Genomic DNA, 19,095 nt, shown 5'->3' on the forward strand with positions numbered 1-19,095 from the left:
AGGGAGAGCCACTGTGATTGTTGAATTCTGCAGAGAACATTTTGGGCCCGGTGAAATGGCAGAAATGTCATCTCTCCTTTGAGGATAGAAGCCCAGCACAGAGCTATCTCCTTTATGCTGAATGCTTCCTAGCTCTCATCCCCCAGCAAAAAGGTAACAATATTTCAGGAAAGAGAGAAAACAATTTTTTAAAAGTCTAAAGTGATAAAAATAAAAACAGGAGAAAAAAGTCAAATGACGTCATTTGTACAATTAAAGTAGCTATAAGCTAGAAGCAGATTTAGTCTGAAGAAGAGGTTTTGCTGTTGGGCTGGTGGACGGTGTCAGGCACTCGGTCTCCTCGACTTTCTGTCAGGCCCTGAACATACACATGCTCTACATGGATCAGGGAAAGTAGAGAGAATGAACCAGAAAAAGCAAACAGTGGCTCTTTATTGGACTCTCATAGAGCCTGACAGGCCCTCCATGCTCTTCACCCTCTGAGAAAGGTTCAGAAATAGGAAAAAATGAGATCACTGGAAAAATTTATCCTAATACCATAAATCAGAATATTTTACTCTGCTTGAACTATGAAATCACTGCAGGTGACAGTCAAGAAGAGAACCACTGAGAAACTATTGAAAATTTAGTTAGGCCAATTTACATAGGAATTAGCTTATTGATGAGAACTACTAAAGTGGAGGTCTTCACAGTAGGGTTTTGTAGCTATAAGAATGCATAAATGTGGAATAATGTAGACTTTTAAAAAGCAACTATTCCAACAAAGTGACCAAGACCTCCAGTCTTAACTGAGCTTCTTTATAATATTTTGGAATAAAAGCTGACCTTTTAAGAGTCTATGGAGAGCTGTTCTTCAAAGAATGTTTTCTTGAAGCAGCACTTTATGGTCAACAGGCCCATTGTTCGTTGGTATCCCTCTCTTTCTCATTTCCTCCCTCCCTCCCATTCAGCAAATATTAAAGTGCCCAGTATGTACCAGGTACACTTCAGATACCCCAGTAAACAAAATATGAAGACCCCTGGCCTCCTGGAGCTTACATTATCTAGGAGGATAATAATAAATAATTATACAGTATGCTAGATGACAATGCTGCGGAACAAGAAAACATACAGTAGGATTGGGGGGCTGGGAGTGCAGAAATGTTACCTGGAAGGTCGGGCAGGCATGATGGAGAGAGAGATTTCATTTGCTCATGAGAGTAAAGACTTGAAGGACATGCAGGAATGAGGCCAGCAGATATCTGGAGCAGGGAGAGTGAGCCAGGCAAGGCTCTACGAGTGGAGAGGGCTGGTGTGTTTGGAGCAATTACCTAGTACTGTGCTTCTCAAACTGGAGCAGGCATCAGTTCACACAGCGGCTGATGTTAAAGCGCTGACTGCCCCAGCCCCATAGATTCTAATTCCATGGGTCTGGGGTAGGGCCTGAGAACCTCCATTTCTAGCAAGTTCCTAGGGGATGCTGATGATGCTATGAGGATCACACTTTGAAAAACAGTGATTTAATATTTATTTATTTATTTATTTATTTTGAGATGGAGTCTCGCTCTGTCCCCTAGGCTGGAGTGCAGTGGCATGATCTCGGTTTCATCACATTGGTCAGGCTGGTCTCAAACTCCTGTCCTCGTGATCTGCCCGCCTCCAGCTCCCAAAGTGCTGGGATTACAGGTGTGAGCCACTGCGCCCAGCCTTGACACATTATTTTTAAAACTCTCTGAGTTACTAAATAATACTGGATCATTAAATCAATTTAATGGGTCTGACTAGCAATTTTAAAAAAAGAAAACAGAATAGGCAATATCGGAGCCCATCACATTTAATGATGGTAAGTACTGTTTTATCAAACTTTCATTTCAGTTGTATATAAATGTGTGAATTGTATCATGATGTAAAATGTATTTTTTGCTGTGGGTGGCAGTCTAAAGAGTTTGAAAACCACTAATTACTTTACTGTACCATTAAATAATACAAGCCACATTAATACAGCAGAGAGAAATAGGGGAGTCCTATTGTTCCAGTTGGACACTAAGCTGAACTTGCCTTGGGCCTTCTCTTGTACTCACACACAGATTTCCCCATCTGGATTTCTCTTTCATCCCAGCTTTATGGAAACCTTACCATCCCTTTAAGACAGAGAAGGTCAAGTCCAGGTTTCTCTTCAGTGTTCCCTGACTAGTTCTTCCCAGCAGTGTCTCCACTCCTTCTTCCAGAACTTAACTTCTACACCATTCATTTTACACGCAGCGTAAAGTGCCCTGCTCTACTCAGCTCTGCAACGCAAGGGGGTGCCTTTCTCTCCTGAAAGATGATACATTTTTCTGAGGGCAGAGGTGGTGTCTTACACACTTCTGTTTCCCCAACGTCCTAGCAATGTTGTGGTCAAAGTGGGGGTAAAATAACGAGCTGCAGTAGGAAGAAACAAACCACATTTGTAAGAGATGCTTTGCTTGTATATTATAGGTGATATCGGTGATGATGATGATGATGCAAATTAATGTAAAGGGACAGGTGGGTGCATACATCCTGAGAAGCAAATCTGGGGACAGAAGGAGAAGGGTGGTAGAAGGAGAAGGGCCAAATACAGGAAAACCAACTAGCAGGGAAAGCTTAGCGGTAAGAGACCCTTAGTCTTCCACCAGAGAGCCTGGGCTGAGAGGTCCTTGGGACAGCAAGCCATGGAGAAAAGCCTCACTCCTCACTGGGAGTCCCTCCTTTAATGTTCTGCACTAATGCTGTGCAGTGAATAAGGAGAGTTGAAGGACCAAAGGAGAAATCAAGATTTTGGCTGAGAAGAAGGAGAGAAATAGGAATCCAGAGGCAGGGTGAAGTTAATTTACCCCACGAATATGTATTGAATGAGATGGGTGTGCTGGGGGATGGTTTTGCTATAATGGAGGGACATACGTGTGCCATAGGAATGTGGAGAAAACCACCGAGTGTGCGTGGGTGAATCAGAGTGGGCTTCATAGAAAGCGGGGAGCATGATCGGCTCACCTGACAGACAAGCCATGAAACTGTGAGAACCCAGAAGCTGCATACACAAAGGCCTGGCATGCAAGGACTCTGTCCACCTGACGATCGGCCAGCGGCTGACAGCGTTGGAGCACAGGATCCGTAGGAGGAAAAAGAACACAACTTAAGTCAGGAGTTAGGCCATGAAGTGCCTTGTGTGCTGGATCAGAGCAGGGTGTAAGGGTGGCAACAGGGCTAAGAACACCTGGGGAGGAAGAAGGATGTGGAAGTGGAGACCCCAATTAGGAGTTTATAGCAATAGACTGTGGGAGAAATGTGGAGCAGCCACATGGGAGGGCGGCAACGTGGAGGGAAAGGAATGACTTGAGAAATGAGAATTTCTAGGGTTTGGGATCTAACAGTACTTTTGAGTTAGAGGGAGGATGCTGGCTATTCATATTTCCACAGGTAGAGATACACGAGGAGTGTGGATGTGTGGGGAGGCAGAAGAGAGTGACTGTGGACACATGGGGGTTGTTCCTGTGGGACCCCAAGGGGCCCTCCCAGTACAGCACTCAGGAATCTGCTCTGGGGATAGAGAACTGACAAAGAAACGAAAGATGCTTAGGGTGAGATAGGGAAGAGACCCCTGAATAGGAGCAAAGTGAAAGGTTTTAAGCAAGTTAGTTGATATGATTTTTTATATTTTTCTTTATGCAACTAAAAACAACCATGAAAGTATTCTAAAAAGTGGATATAAAATAAAGGCTTTAAAAATCATTTAGTGTGAAACTGGTAATTACTTTTAATTCCTATGACTTATCAAGTGTCTTGAGTAAATGAAGTTTGGTTAATGTCAATAACATATTATTCCACACTTTCTTATTTACACTAAAAGATAAGTTATCTTCTGGTTAATTCCCCTTGAAAAGCACTACCTAGTTTTCAAACACTAAATACAGTAAAATTCTTAATCCTCAAATGACATAGATAATTCACTAAACTGAAGAAAAGAGGGGACTTGAGAGCCCAACATAATAAAATCTGAGGTGGTAGTGGTATGAGAACACGCACGGATCTGGAAGAATTCTGACCCATCACCATGACATTCAAATTGCTCCACAGTAAGCAAAATGCGAGCCAGGAACATGCCCTGTTGTGGATACAGACAGTGAGAGCTTTGAGCTGCGGCTTCTAAGTCGGCTCCCAGAGGACATACTAACTTTATTTATTTCCTTCCAAATCCTAAAGGAGAAATAAGTGACTCAGGATTTCAGAGCCTGTTCTTTAGGTCTCTGTTTAAGCAGGAGGCTCCGGAAAAAATAATTACCTGGTATTGCCTTTCCCAGACTTCACAGAATACCAGTAAGAAGAGAATGTTTAGAATGATATTAATACTATTTACTCTGAACAGCCAAGTTGTTTAACTATATAGACAGATTTATCCAAATAGTATGCATTCCCACATAGGATATTACACAAATATTTTAGAAGGCTATGTCAAATAATATTTGATTGAAAAATATTTTATTTGGTTGGAAGTCAATTACTCTTCCATGGGCTTCCAGATCTTACTGTTTACTTGCCCAAAATTGGAAGAATACTACTTCTACAAAGTTGGCTTCAATTCTACAATGCAAGGGAAAGTTCTAAAACTTTTGGCTCATCGGCTTCAGCTGACATTAGCTGGTGAATTTTTCATGAGTAAGGGGCGCTGTGATCCTCTTAACAACCCAGAAGGTAGTAGTAAAGAATTCTGAGTTTCTAAGTGTTTAATTTATATATTTTAAGAAACAACAAATCAATTAGTATATATTATTCCACATTTTCATAGAGGGCTTATTAAGACAGCATTTCCAATTTGAAACCAACTCTTTTACATCAATATCATGTATGAAACTATTATTACACACCCGACAATTATTTTATCAGTATATATTAGTAAACTACTCCAAAGACTATAATGTGCTGTCATGTAGTATCATGTAAACATTACTCAACACAGCTTGAATTTTGAATCAACTTTAGATACCGTGGTATTCTGTGAATTAAACTCTAGAGATTTTAAGTGACTCATTTTATTATAAACACTCAATCCAAAAAGATGATTAAAATAATTGAGATAAGGCTTGATTGTAAGGATAAACAGCCTTTTATTTCTAGTAACATCTGTGGTAATAATATGCTATCATTTAAACCAACTAGGATGACTCACCATCTGTGGGTAAATGTAATTTTAGTAAATGTAATCTTTTCTAGTACTGGTGATAGTGTTTTTTTTTTTTTGTTTTGTTTTTAAACTGAATCATCCATCTTCTATCCTTTTGCAACCATGAAGTGAGTTGGCAAGCTGAGGTCAGGAGTACAACTTCTTGCTATGTTCCAGAACCAAATTAACTGGCCCTCTTAAGAAATTTACCCATGACCTTGGCCTCAATAGGATCTTGCTCTAAATCAGAGTCAACTTGCCTGGGACCCACCATAGATCAATTATTTTCTCTATTTAGCCATAATTCTGAAAAACGAAAAGAGTTACATTTTTGTTTATATGTCACTGTCTCAAATATAAATGACATTTTATTTTTGAATATAGTATAATAAATGAACAAATATTAACATTCCAGCACTTAGCCTGCACACTGTAATTCATTTTGCTTTAAGGTAAGTATTACAGTGAACTACAAGATTAACCTTCCCCAGACTCCATTGCAGTGTCCTTTTTTGGCAGCCTCGATATTTCTACTTTGTTCTTGACTGAGCTTACACACCAAGATCCATCACTTCCTGGGAGTAGCCACTTTAATCTTCATAGATTTTTTTGTACTGGTTCACATGGTATAGTTTACATAAATTTGAAATAGTTCAAAAAAATCCCACAAAAATACCCCCAAACCAACCAACAAACCAAGGTCTTACTTTATGTAAAAATGGAAACAATATGAATTCTCTATATTTAAAAAAATTATCTGGAATAGGAACACATCCAAGCTGGAGGGCCCAGTGAACTCTAACCTGTTTTTATGCTATTACCACATGGTGGTGCCACTTTGGCTGATAAACAGAACATTTGCCATCTTTGCACAGTACCGTGTGAATCTCCCTGTTGTTTATGTACAGTGGAACTTCAGTAAATGATTATGATGACTAATGTGCTGTTATTTTACAAACTCTGTTATTATAATTGAAAATATTTTTATATCCTACAACAATATCTCTCAAGCATTCATTAAGCAGTGGTTCTAGTGATAGTGCTGAAAAACATAGCCCCCAAAAACAGTAACAACACTGGAACAGACGTGAACTGTGACAAAACACTATGAAGGCCAAATATCCACTATGACCTCCTGTGTTGGTAATTTAGGTGAAAGCACTCTAAAAAATTAGAGCTAATGAAGAAAAAACTAAAAAGAACAGTAAAGTAAAAGTAAGCTGCAATGCTGTACATTCATGCATTCCCCAAAGGATCTTCTTTACATCTTTTTCTTATGGGATAATTAGTCTTGAAGTATGAGTTTTATATTGTGAGACTGCTTCAGGAATACATCTATCAAACAGATGTAAATGCCTTCTTCAAATACAGCACTTCCCCCACCTTCTCCACGAAGTGCATCTCTTTCCACTATTACATCCCAGGCACACAGTAAACAGTGCAGCAATTATGAATGTGGGCACTGGAGATAGACTTCCTGGGTTTCAATCTGCAGGCTCCATCATTTTCCAGTTGTATGGCTTTGGCTAAGTTTCTTAACCTCACTGTACATCAGTTTCCTCATCTGAAAAATTAGGATGATACCACTACCCACCGCAAAGGGCTGTGGTAGGGACTGAATGAGCTTGATATAACACATTTAGAACCTGTGTGGCACTGAGTCACACTATGGAAATATTAGCTACTCTTGTGATCATCTTCATCATCACCTTCCCATTAACTCTTGATGATACTCTTAAGGCCGAATTTGTTTCACTGGGTTAAAAAAATAAGGTGTCCTTTTATTAACAGTATATGAATTATAGTGCATGCCATGGCTACTTGTAGGATATGCAGTGGCATGAAAGTATTAATGCTTCTTTTGAAAAGCTGTCAGAAACCTTTGTCACAGTTCTGAGGAGCCCTTCTAGTCTATGTACTGGATAAGCAGCATGATTCTGGATAGGGTCTGCTAAGACACTAACATTTACATCAAGGGACACGGCAGTGTCAAGTGGACATTTCTTTAGCCTTCTTACCTTCAGTCTGTCTTTGGGCAGCGCAACGACGCCTTGCTTAATGATTTCCAGGACCCGTTCCACTGACAGCTCAGCTCCAGCTTGCAGCAACCTTGAGCTAAAGAAGGAGATCACCTGTAATGTAAAGTGTTATTTTTTAAACAAGAAGAGGTATGAAATGTATTTTTAGTAGCCGCCTTTCTCACATGGTAGTCAAACTATCATGATTCCATTCCTACAGTGACCCGGCTTTTAATTCACTAGCCCTCCTAAACGCAGTTTGCTCTCCGTTGGGTTTGATAGCCGAATCAGAGGCAACCCCTCAATATCCAGGGCTGATTATTCATTCTGTGAATTAAGTAGCCTCCTGAATTCTACTCTTTCTTGTGCTGCCTGACCTTGCATTTATATTTCGTTTATAGAGCAGTATCCAACAGAAAGTCGGGAGAGAAAGCTAAACCCTAAAGCCTATCACTTTTGAAGCTTAATATTAGCTCTCTCTCTCTCTCTCTCTCTCTCTCTCTCTCTCTCTCAAAAGGGCTTAACAGGAAAGAATTTGAAACTAATGGCTAAAATGATGTTTTGGGGATTATCTATGAATTTAGCCACATTTCCCTTATCATGATCACCAGGGATAACAAATAGCAACCTATAATTACTTTTGCTTCATGTTATAGCACAGCCCAAAGTATGCAGCAAGATATTAACACAGTAGCATTCTGGAAATACACGGTCCCTAAATATTTGTCACTAAAAAATGAAAACAAAACATCATTTTTCAGCAAATTATTTTTAAAACCACAATGTTCATAAATCAAGAAGACTGCAGATCCCTTTTAAATTCAAGAGAATAACATTTAGGTGTTTATAGTCAGACATGCAAAAATATAAAAAATTATTGTGTTTTTGTAAAGTTGAGCATTACCTTTTATGTCTTCTATTTTATAGGTAAAATATATTAAGTTACAAACAATCCTTCACAAACGTTTTTATGCATTTTCTTTCAGAATTACTCTCCTAAATGCTAATTGTTTAAGAGTACAATAACTTTTGTCTTATCCATTCTAGTGGAAAGTACACTATATTACATAAATGCCACTAAATGCATTTGTTCTGGAAGGTAAAGAGACTTAGCTGGCGCCACAGCCATTAACAAGCATGTGCCTCACAATTCTGTGGCAATGAGTGAGAACAAAGGCAGCTCATGGCTGGTGACACTGCTTGTGATTCCAGATAAACCATTTCTTTCTCAAGCAGTTTGCTGGCACCACCAGCTACTTTGCAAGCTGCTTATTTTGTCCACAAGTGGGCTTTTCGCTACGTGCCTGTGGGCCTTGTTCTTCCCCATGTCGGATTTTAAGTTCTTTTTGAGTTTCTGGGATTAATATTTTGTTCACAGAGTTTAGACACAGCAGGTCCAAAAATTGATTTTTATAATATAGTGAATAAATATCTGAAAAAAGACACAACACAGATAGCAAAACATATTGTAATAGATTAAAATCCTATTTTTAAAATATGCAACAATGAATACACAAAATAAATGCTTTCCTTTTGTGTAAATATCTTCACAGGTTGTAAACTGAGCATAGTTTTTCTGAGAAAAGAATTGGTTAACCATATGAAATGCCAATTTTGTTGGTAAAAAAATGGTTTAATGTTAGAAATTTCATATGGGTCAATCTAACACCTATGCATATTATCTTCTTTGACCAAAAAATATTTAAAAAGTAGGAGCATATCTGTTAAAAACACATTCTAAAAAATAAAAAAATGGTAATTAAAAAGTAGATAGATGTTACATATGCTTTAGGCTTACTGAATTTTTTTTTTCTTTCTAACATGCTGAAAGCTGATATTTCACTACTGGATTTTTGTTTTGTTTATAGCAGTAGATCATACAGACAAGGAGTAGTTCTCAAGCATGGCTGATCATCAGAAGTAGCTGAGAAGCCTTGTGAAATTCTGATCCCAGGGCCTAGTCAGGGACCTTCTATTATACATCAGGCTCTCCAGGTGATTTTGATGATCAGTCAGAATCCAGACCAGAGGTTTCCAAACTTTTCAAGTTGTACACATCTACAAGTAAAAAAATGAGGATGTGCTTGCAATATATGTTCTAGTTCTTTATAAATCATGCAATATACTACAGCACTGATGTTTTACATATTATAAAATGTTCATAAAATAAATTTAAAAGAATGAGATAAAGATAAAATCAATTAGATTAAAAAAACCAATGATACAAAACATGTTTTTTGTACTCATTAAAATGTCATTGAAAATAATCTGGGTAATTACAGATTACTAATCACAGCAATTTCACATGACCATCAGCAAGCACAGTATTCACCCACGGTAAGATGCATCGTTTATTACAGTGAATATTAAATCCATAGTGCCTAAAAGTCTTCCTGATAACTTTTATGGATCCATTTTCTGTGAGATTAGACTGGTTCATCACTGTTTTTCCCTTGTAATGTGGCACTTGTTCCAGGAGGAGGGGGATGCCAGCTCTGCCATTATCTTTTGTCATATGTGCTTATATTTTTCTATCACCTTCAGTGTGTGGGGAAACACGCTATTTCGTGAGGGTTTAACTAAATCTAGATACTGTAACCAGGAACACATATACTACACTAAGCTTTACGTGAATGAACAGGTGAGCGCATGTATGCCAAGCCCTACAAGTTGAGGAACTCCTATCTCCTCCCTCGGGATATCTGGAGTACTGAGGCTGACACAGACCCTGGAAGGTTGTAAAGGCCAATACTATTAGTAAAACTAAATCTCCTTATTTTTAGATGAATAAATAACAGCTCTAATATTTTCTTTCCATGCTTCTACGGATGAACTGTTAGTGCAATCTCTGGGGCATGTGGAGCCATCCGCTTTGATAATCACTAATCGAGATAACAAAAGGCACATAATCAGAGTTAAAGGGAACTCACAGTATTCACTTACTACTCAAAGACACGACAAACCAACAAAAGGGAGTGTACTTATGTGTCACACCACCAAGAACAAAGTAATGCAATGACAGTTTTGCTTTGTTGACTCTGCGGCCTATACTGGCTTTCCTCTAAGCCACAAGGAATTTCCATTTCCACTGGGAGAGCTGCAGAGGAGGCATGAAGCTGGGTTTCCAACTAAATTCCTTTTTCAAACTGGTTCTCATTTGTATGTTTTAAAGCTGACATTCTCATGTTTTTGCATTCAAACTCACATGATTTTAGAAAATGATAAAACAACCACTTGCAGAAGGGAAGTATAATTTATGTGTCAAAACCGAAGGAAACAAATCTATCCTGAATGTTTATCATGGACTGTGTGCTGTACATATACTATTTGTTTAATTCTCATGACAATCCCATGAGGCTGATAAAAATCTCTGTCCTACAGAATTGTAAAAAGGATCAGAGACAAACTAGACTGGGGTGGCCCAGGCAAGTGGGAGGAGTAGGACTCCAGCTCAGGTATTTCTTCCTACTTTATCATGTCTCCGGCAATTCCTATGTAGCAAAATGGAGCATTAGCTTAGTTTTTCAAATAGGAGATATCTAAGTGAAAGGTGTAAGTTGTTCAGCCAAACCTTTCAGATGTTGTCTGACTGCAACACCAGCAAAGAACGTGAAACAATTCATTCAAAGATAAGAGCTTCTATTTCCTACTCCCAGGTTATAATTTTGCATATAATAGTACTTTTAGTGATGATGACTACAACAGATGTGTGGCTTTTATCCATTTGTATAGCAACCATTAAAACTATTAAAATAGATGAACTTTTATTCCTCTGAAAATCTCTGCATGAGACACAGCCAATAACAGAAAACATTCAAGTAAAACCTTTAGTGAAAGTGGGGATGAATGCTTTGTCAGTGTAATTCAAAGACAACCTTTCAAAGGAAGGTACTTTTCCAAAGCGCATGTTTTACAACCCTCCTCTACCTACAATATTTGGCTGTAACTCATGAAATCCAAGTACAGCATATTACCTTCCATTATGCTATTAGCTTTGAACAGTGATTGCCCACTGTCATATACTGATTAATCAGTTGTTTACTTTGAGTAATGTCAAATCACATTTAACCACCTGTCATGAAACAAGTGAATGATTATTATTAATAGATCACAGATTAATAGAAATGAGAAGCTTTTCTGGAGTAGAGGAGAATAAAAAGGAGCTAGTATGTGCTCCTCAGGCAAAATGCTTGCTTGCTAAAAATGGCCACTCTCCTAAGAGGTAGAAGTAGACAGCTAAGTTTTATTTTATTTTATTTTTATTTTTTAAGACAACGATAAACATGTAAAATACATATATATTTCCTCATTGACTTGAGTTTCCCCTCAAGTTACTGTATTTTAATCAATACATATATTGACAATCCATTCAGCAGAGGAGCTCTCCCGAGGATTTACCAGGGAAATAAATAGATGATACCATTTTCTCTCTTGAAGAAAGACACAGTGTAATTTGTGAGATAAGACAGATCAAACCTGTATAATTAGAATAGACATCATGGTAAAGTGGATAATGAACTACTCAAAGAAGGCTTACATTTGAGTCTTGCCTCTGATACTAGCAATGTGACTTGTAAAACACTCAACATCTAGATGTAGCATGATGCAGTGGTTTAGAGAACTTACCTGGTGTCGGACTGCTTGGGTTTAAATCCCACCTCTTCTTATAATATCTTCAAAGTGACAAAGTTGCAGCATCTACTGCATAGGAACCAATAATGATAATGTGGCAACTTTGTCATTTTGTAAATGAGGGTACTGATACACACCTAATAACAGTAAGAGCTAACGCTCTGTGAGCACTTACCATGCGCAAAGCACTTTGCGCTGTGCAGACATTAACTTATTTAAGGCTGTAAATTTCTCTCTGGGCTTTTGCTGGGTCCCACAAATTTTGACATGTTACAGTTTCATTTATGTTCACCTTAAATTTGTTCTATTTCCCTTGTAAACTTCTTTTTGACACATGGGTGTATTGTTCAATTTCCAAGTATTTGGAGATTTTCCAGATATCTTATTTCTTTTTTTTAATACTTTCAGTTTTAGGGTACACGTGCACAATGTGCAGGTTAGTTACATATGTATACATGTGCCATGTTTGTGTGCTGCACCCACTAACTCGTCATTTAACATTAGGTATATCTCCAAATGCTATCCGTCCCCTCTCCCCCAACCCCACAACAGGCCCCAGTGTGTGACGTTCCCCTTCCTGTGTCCATGTGTTCTCATTGTTCAATTCCCACCTGAGTGAGAACTTGTGGTGTTTGGTTTTTTTGTCCTTGCGATAGTTTGCTGAAAATGATGGTTTCCAGCTTCATCCATGTCCCTACAAAGGACATGAACTCATCCTTTTTTATGGCTGCATAGTATTCCATGGTGTATATGTGCCACATTTTCTTAATCCAGTCTATCATTGATGGACATTTGGCTTGGTTCCAAGTCTTTGCTATTGTGAATAGTGCTGCAATAAACACACGTGTGCATGTGTCTTTATAGCAGCATCATTTATAATCCTTTGGGTATATATCCAGTAATGGGATTGCTGGGTCAAATGGTATTTCTAGTTCTAGATCCTTGAGGAATCGCCACACTGACTTCCACAATGGTTGAACTAGTTTACAGTCCCACCAACAGTGTAAGAGTGTTCCTATTTCTCCACACCCTCCCCAGCACCTGTTGTTTCCTGACTTTTTAATGATTGCCATTCTAACTGGTGTGAGATGGTATCTCATTGTGGTTTTGATTTGCATTTCTCTGATGGCCAGTGATGATGAGCATTTTTTCATGTGTCTTTTGGCTGCATAAATGTCTTCTTTTGAGAAGTGTCTGTTCATATCCTTCACTCACTTTTTGGTGGGGTTGTTTTTTTCTTGTAAATTTGTTTGAGTTCATTGTAGATTCTGGATATTAGCCCCTTGTCAGATGGGTAGATGGCAAAAATTTTCTCCCATTCTGTAGGTTGCCTGTTCACTCTGATGGTAGTTTCTTTTGCTGTGCAGAAGCTCTTTAGTTTAATTACATCCCATTTGTCAATTTTAGCTTTTGTTGCCATTGCTTTTGGTGTTTTAGACATGAAGTCCTTGCCTATGTCTATGTCCTGAATGGTATTGCCTAGGTTTTCTTCTAGGGTTTTTATGGTTTTAGGTCTAACATGTAAGTCTTTAATCCATCTTGAATTAATTTTTGTATAAGGTGTAAGGAAGGGATCCAGTTTCAGCTTTCTACATATGGCTAGCCAGTTTCCCAGCACCATTTATTAAATAGGGAATCCTTTCCCCATTTCTTGTTTTTGTCAGGTTTGTCAAAGATCAGATGGTTGTAGATATGCGGCGTTATTTCTGAGGGCTCTGTTCTGTTCCATTGGTCTATGTCTCTGTTTTGGTACCAGTACCATGCTGTTTTGGTTACTGTAGCCTTGTAGTATAGTTTGAAGTCAGGTAGCGTGATGCCTCCAGCTTTGTTCTTTTGGCTTAGGATTGACTTGGCGATGCGGGCTCTTTTTTGGTTCCATATGAACTTCAAAGTAGTTTTTTCCAATTCTGTGAAGAAGGTCATTGGTAGCTTGATGGGGATGGCATTGAATCTCTAAATTACCTTGGGCAGTATGGCCATTATCACGATATTGATTCTTCCTACCCATGAGCATGGAATGTTCTTCCATTTGTTTGTATCCTCTTTTATTTCATTAAGCAGTGGTTTGTAGTTCTCCTTGAAGAGATCCTTCACATCCCTTGTAAGTTGGATTCCTAGGTATTTTATTCTCTTTGAAGCAATTGTGAATGGGAGTTCACTCATGATTTGGCTCTCTGTTTGTCTGTTATTGGTGTATAAGAATGCTTGTGATTTTTGCACATTGATTTTGTAACCTGAGACTTTGCTGAAGTTGCCTATCAGCTTGAGGAGATTTTGGGCTGAGATGACGGGGTTTTCTAGATATACAATCATGTCATCTGCAAAAAGGGACAATTTGACTTCCTCTTTTCCTAATTGAATATCCTTTATTTCCTTCCCCTGCCTGATTGCCCTGGCCTGAACTTCCAATACTATGTTGAATAGGAGTGGTGAGAGAAGGCATCCCTGTCGTGTGCCAGTTTTCAAAGGGAATGCTTCCAGTTTTTGCCCATTCAGTATGATACTGGCTGTGGGTCTTTCATAGATAGCTCTTATTATTTTGAGATACGTCCCATCAATACTGAATTTATTGAGTTTTTAGCATGAAGTGTTGTTGAATTTTGTCAAAGGCCTTTTATGCATCTATTGAGATAATCATATGGTTTTTGTCATTGGTTCTGTTTATATGCTGGATTATGTTTATTGATTTGGTATGTTGAACCAGCCTTGCATCCTAGGGATGAAGCCCACTTGATCATGGTGGATAAGGTTTTTGATGTGCTGCTGGATTTGGTTTGCCAGTATTTTATCAGGATTTTTGCACCAATGTTCATCAGGGATATTGGTCTAAAATTCTCTTTTTTTGTTGTGTCTCCGCCAGGCTTTGGTATCAGGATGATGCTGGCCTCATAAAATGAGTTAGGGAGGATTCCCTCTTTTTCTATTGATTGGAATAGTTTCAGAAGGAATAGTACCAGCTCCTCTTTGTACCTCTGGTAGAATTCAGCTGTGAATCCATCTGGTCCTGGACTTTTTTTGGTTGGTAAGCTATTAATTATTGCCTCAATTTCAGAGCCTGTTATTGGTCTATTCAGAGATTCAACTTCTTCCTGGTTTAGTCTTGGGAGGGTGTGTGTCCAGGAATTTATCCATTTCTTCTAGATTTTCTAGTTTATTTGCGTAGAGGTGCTTATAGCATTCTCTGATGGCAGTTTGTATTTCTGTGGGATCGGTGGTAATATCTCCCTTATCATTTTTTATTGCGTCTATTTGATTCTTGTCTCTTTTCTTCTTTATTAGTCTTGCTAGCAGTCTATCAATTTTGTTGATCTTTTCAAAAAACCAGCTCCTGGATTCATTGATTTTTTGAAGGGTTTTTTGTGTCTCTATCTCCTTCAGTTCTGCTCTGCTCTTAGTTATTTCTTGCCTTCTGCTAGCTTTTGAATGTGTTTGCTCTTGCTTCTCTAGTTCTTTTAATTGTGATGTTAGGGTGTCAATTTTAGATCTGTCCTGCTTTCTCTTGTGGGCATTTAGTGCCATAAATTTCCCTCTACACACTGCTTTGAATGTGTCCCAGAGATTCTGGTATGTTGTGTCTTTGTTCTCTTTGGTTTCAAAGAATATCTTTATTTCTGCCTTCATTTCGTTATGTATCCAGTAGTTATTCAGGAGCAGGTTGTTCAGTTTCCATGTAGTTGAGCGGTTTTGAGTGAGTTTCTTAATCCTGAGTTCTAGTTTGACTGCACTGTGGTCTGAGAGACAGTTTGTTATAATTTCTGTTCTTTTACATTTGCTGAGGAGAGCTTTACTTCCAAGTAAGTGGTCAATTTTGGAATAAGTGTGGTGTGGTGCTGAGAAGAATGTATATTCTGCTGATTTGGGGTGGAGAGTTCTGTAGATGTCAATTAGGTCTGCTTGGTTAAGAGCTGAGCTCAGTTCCTGGATATCCTTGTTAACTTTCTGTCTTGTTGATCTGTCTAATGTTGACAGTGGGGTGTTAGAGTCTCCCATTATTATTGTGTGGGAGTCTAAGTCTCTTTGTAGGTCTCTAAGGACTTGCTTTATGAATCTGGGTGCTCCTGTATTGGGTGCATATATATTTAGGATAGTTAGCTCTTCTTGTTGAATTGAACCCTTTACCATTATGTAATGGCCTTCTTTCTCTCTTTTGACCTTTGTTGGTTTAAAGTCTGTTTTATCAGAGACTAGGATTGCAACCCCTGCCTTTTGTTTTCCATTTGCTTGGTAGATCTTCCTCCATCCCTTTATTCTGAGCCTATTTGTGTCTCTGCATGTGAGATGGGTTTCCTGAACACAGCACACTGATGGGTCTTGACTCTTTATCCAATTTGCCAGTCTGTGTCTTTTAATTGGAGCATTTAGCCCATTTACATTTAAGGTTAATATTGTTATGTGTGAATTTGATCCTGTCATTATGATGTTAGTTGGTTATTTTGCTTGTTAGTCGATGCAGTTTCTTCCCAGCCTCAATGGTCTTTACAATTTGGCAAGTTTTTGCAGTGGCTGGTACCGGTTGTTCCTTTCTATGTTTAGTGCTTCCTTCAGGAGCTCTTTTAGGGCAGGCCTGGTGGTGAGAAAATCTCTCAGCATTTGCTTGTCTGTAAAGGATTTTATTTCTCCTTCACTTACGAAGCTTAGTTTGGCTGGATATGAAATTCTGGGTTGAAAATTCTTTTCTTTAAGAATGTTGAATATTGGCCCCCACTCTCTTCTGGCTTGGAGAGTTTCTGCCGAGAGATCAGCTGTTAGTCTGATGGGCTTCCCTTTGTGGGTAACCCGACCTTTGTCTCTGGCTGCCCTTAACATTTTTTCCTTCATTGCAACTTTAGTGAATCTGACAATTACGTGTCTTGGAGTTGCTCTTCTCGAGGAGTATCTTTGTGGCGTTCTCTGTATTTCCTGAATTTGAATGTTGGCCTGCCTTGCTAGATTGGGGAAGTTCTCCTGGATAATATCCTGCAGAATGTTTTCCAACTTGGTTCCATTCTCCCCGTCACTTTCAGGTACACCAATCAGACGTAGATTCGGTCTTTTCACATAGTCCCATATTTCTTGGAGGCTTTGTTCATTTCTTTTTATTCTTTTTTCTCTAAACTTCTCTTCTCGCTTCATTTCATTCATTTGATCTTCCATCACTGATACTCTTTCTTCCAGTTGATCGAAGTGGCTACTGAGGCTTGTGCATTCGTCACGTAGTTCTCGTTCCTTGGTTTTCAGCTCCATTAGGTCCTTTAAGGACTTCTGTGCATTGGTTATTCTAGTTAGCCATTCGTCTAATTTTTTTTCACGATTTTTAACTTCTTTGCCATGGGTTCAAACTTCCTCCTTTAGCTAGGAGTAATTTGATCATCTGAAGCCTTCTTCTCTCAACTCTTCAAAGTCATTCTCCGTCCAGCTTTGTTCCGTTGCTGGTGAGGAGCTGCGTTCCTTTGGAGGAGGAGAGGCACTCTGATTTTTAGAGTTTCCAGGTTTTCTGCTCTGTTTTTTCCCCATCTTTGTGATTTTATCTACCTTTGGTCTTTGATGATGGTCATGTACAGATGGGGTTTTGGTGTGGATGTCCTTTCTGTTTGTTAGTTTTCCTTCTAACAGTCAGGACCCTCAGCTGCAGGTCTGTTGGAGTTTGCTGGAGGTCCACTCCAGACGCTGTTTGCCTGGGTATCAGCAGCGGAGGCTACAGAACAGCGGATATTGGTGAGCAGCAAATGTTGCTGCCTGATTGTTCCTCTAGAAGTTTTGTCTGAGACGAGTACCCGGCCGTGTGAAGTGTCAGTCTGCCCCTACTGGGGGGTGCCTCCCAGTTAGGCTACTCAGGGGTCAGGGACCCACTTGAGAAGGCAGTCTGTCCATTCTCAGATCTCCAGCTGCATGCTGGGAGAACCACTACTCTCTTCAAAGCTGTCAGACAGGGACATTTAAGTCTGCAGAGGATTCTGCTGCCTTTTGTTTGGCAATGCCCTGCCCCAAGACGTGGAGTCTACAGAGGCAGGCAGGCCTCCTTGAGCTGTGGTGGGCTCCACCCAGTTCGAGCTTCCTGGCCACTTTGTTTACCTACTCAAGCCTTGGCAATGGCGGATGCCCCTCCCCCAGCCTCACTGCCACCTTGCAGTTTGATCTCAGACTACTGTGCTAGCAATGAGCGAGGCTCCATGGGTGTAGGACCCTCCGAGCCAGGCACGGGATATAATCTCCTGGTGTGCCATTTGCTAAGACCGTTGGAAAAGCACAGTATTAGGGTGGGAGTGACCCGATTTTCCAGGTGCCGTCTGTCACCCCTTTCTTTGACTAGGAAAGGGAATTCACTGACCCCTTGTGCTTCCCGGGTGAGGCAATGCCTCGCCCTGCTTCGGCTCACGCGCAGTGCGCTGCACCTACTGTCCTACACCCACTTTCCGGCACTCCCCAATGAGATGAACCCGGTATCTCAGTTGGAAATGCAGAAATCACCCGTCTTCTGCATCGCTCACACTGGGAGCTGTAGACTGGAGCTGTTCCTATTCGGCCATCTTGGCTCTTCTTACTGATTTCTATTCAATAGTTTAATTTCACTGTGGTCAAAGAATATACTCTAGGTGATCTCATCTCATTTAAATTTGCTGAGGTTTGTTTTACGGCCCCATACATGGTCTCTCTTAGAGAATGGTTCACGTGCACTGATGTTGTTGGGTGGTATGTTCTATAAATGTGAACTCATCAAGTTGGTGGTTAGTATTGTTTGGGTCTTCTGTATCATCACAAATTTTCTGTTTATTTGCTGTATCAATTACTGAGAAAGAAGTGTTGACTTCTCCAATTATGGGTTTGTTTGTGTCTTCTTGCCATTCTATCAGTTTTTATTTCATGCATTTCGAAGCTCTGTTGTATACACATTTATGGTTGTTACGTCTCCTTGGTGAATTGACTTCTTTATCATTACATGGAGTCCCTCTTTATCCCTGGTAATGCTCCCTGTGTTGAAGTCTACTTTGTCTGCTATTAATATAGTCATCCTACCCCTTTTTTTTTTTATTAATGCTTACGTAGTAAAAGTTATTTTATCCTTTTGCTTTTAACCAATCTATTTCTTTATGTTTAAGGTGGGTTTCTTATAGACAGCACATAGTTAGGTCTTGCTTTTTATCCAATCTGAAAATTTCTGTCTTTTAATTGAGGCATCAGGATTATTTGCATTTGATTTAATTATTGGCATGTAGGATTTAAATACATGGATGGATTTTTGTTGTTGTTGTTCCACTATTTTGTTGTTGTTGTTCCACTATTATTTATTCTGCTTTTCCTGCCTGCCTT

General features: G+C 39.3%; 1 protein-coding gene across 40 annotated transcripts in view; it reads right to left on the minus strand.

Annotated features, from left to right (window-relative positions):
- DYM (dymeclin) overlaps positions 1–19,095 on the minus strand; it is a 424,259-nt gene that overhangs the window by 53,839 nt on the left and 351,325 nt on the right. For 22 of the 40 annotated variants that reach the window (NM_001374439.1, XM_047437553.1, NM_001374429.1 and 19 more), the window contains one exon: positions 7,177–7,290. The exons of 3 other annotated variants lie outside the window; for them this stretch is intronic. In NM_001374439.1, the coding sequence (NP_001361368.1) occupies positions 7,177–7,290 (114 nt within the window). Of the gene's footprint in view, positions 1–1,876; positions 2,401–2,991; positions 3,110–7,176; positions 7,291–19,095 lie in introns of those variants that run through there. 15 more of the 40 variants (XM_047437559.1, XM_047437554.1, XM_047437555.1 and 12 more) reach the window with 5 other exon arrangements.

The sequence above is a fragment of the Homo sapiens genome, chromosome 18 (assembly GCF_000001405.40).
Source record: "Homo sapiens chromosome 18, GRCh38.p14 Primary Assembly".
In the NCBI taxonomy this organism is placed as follows: Eukaryota; Metazoa; Chordata; class Mammalia; order Primates; family Hominidae; genus Homo; species Homo sapiens.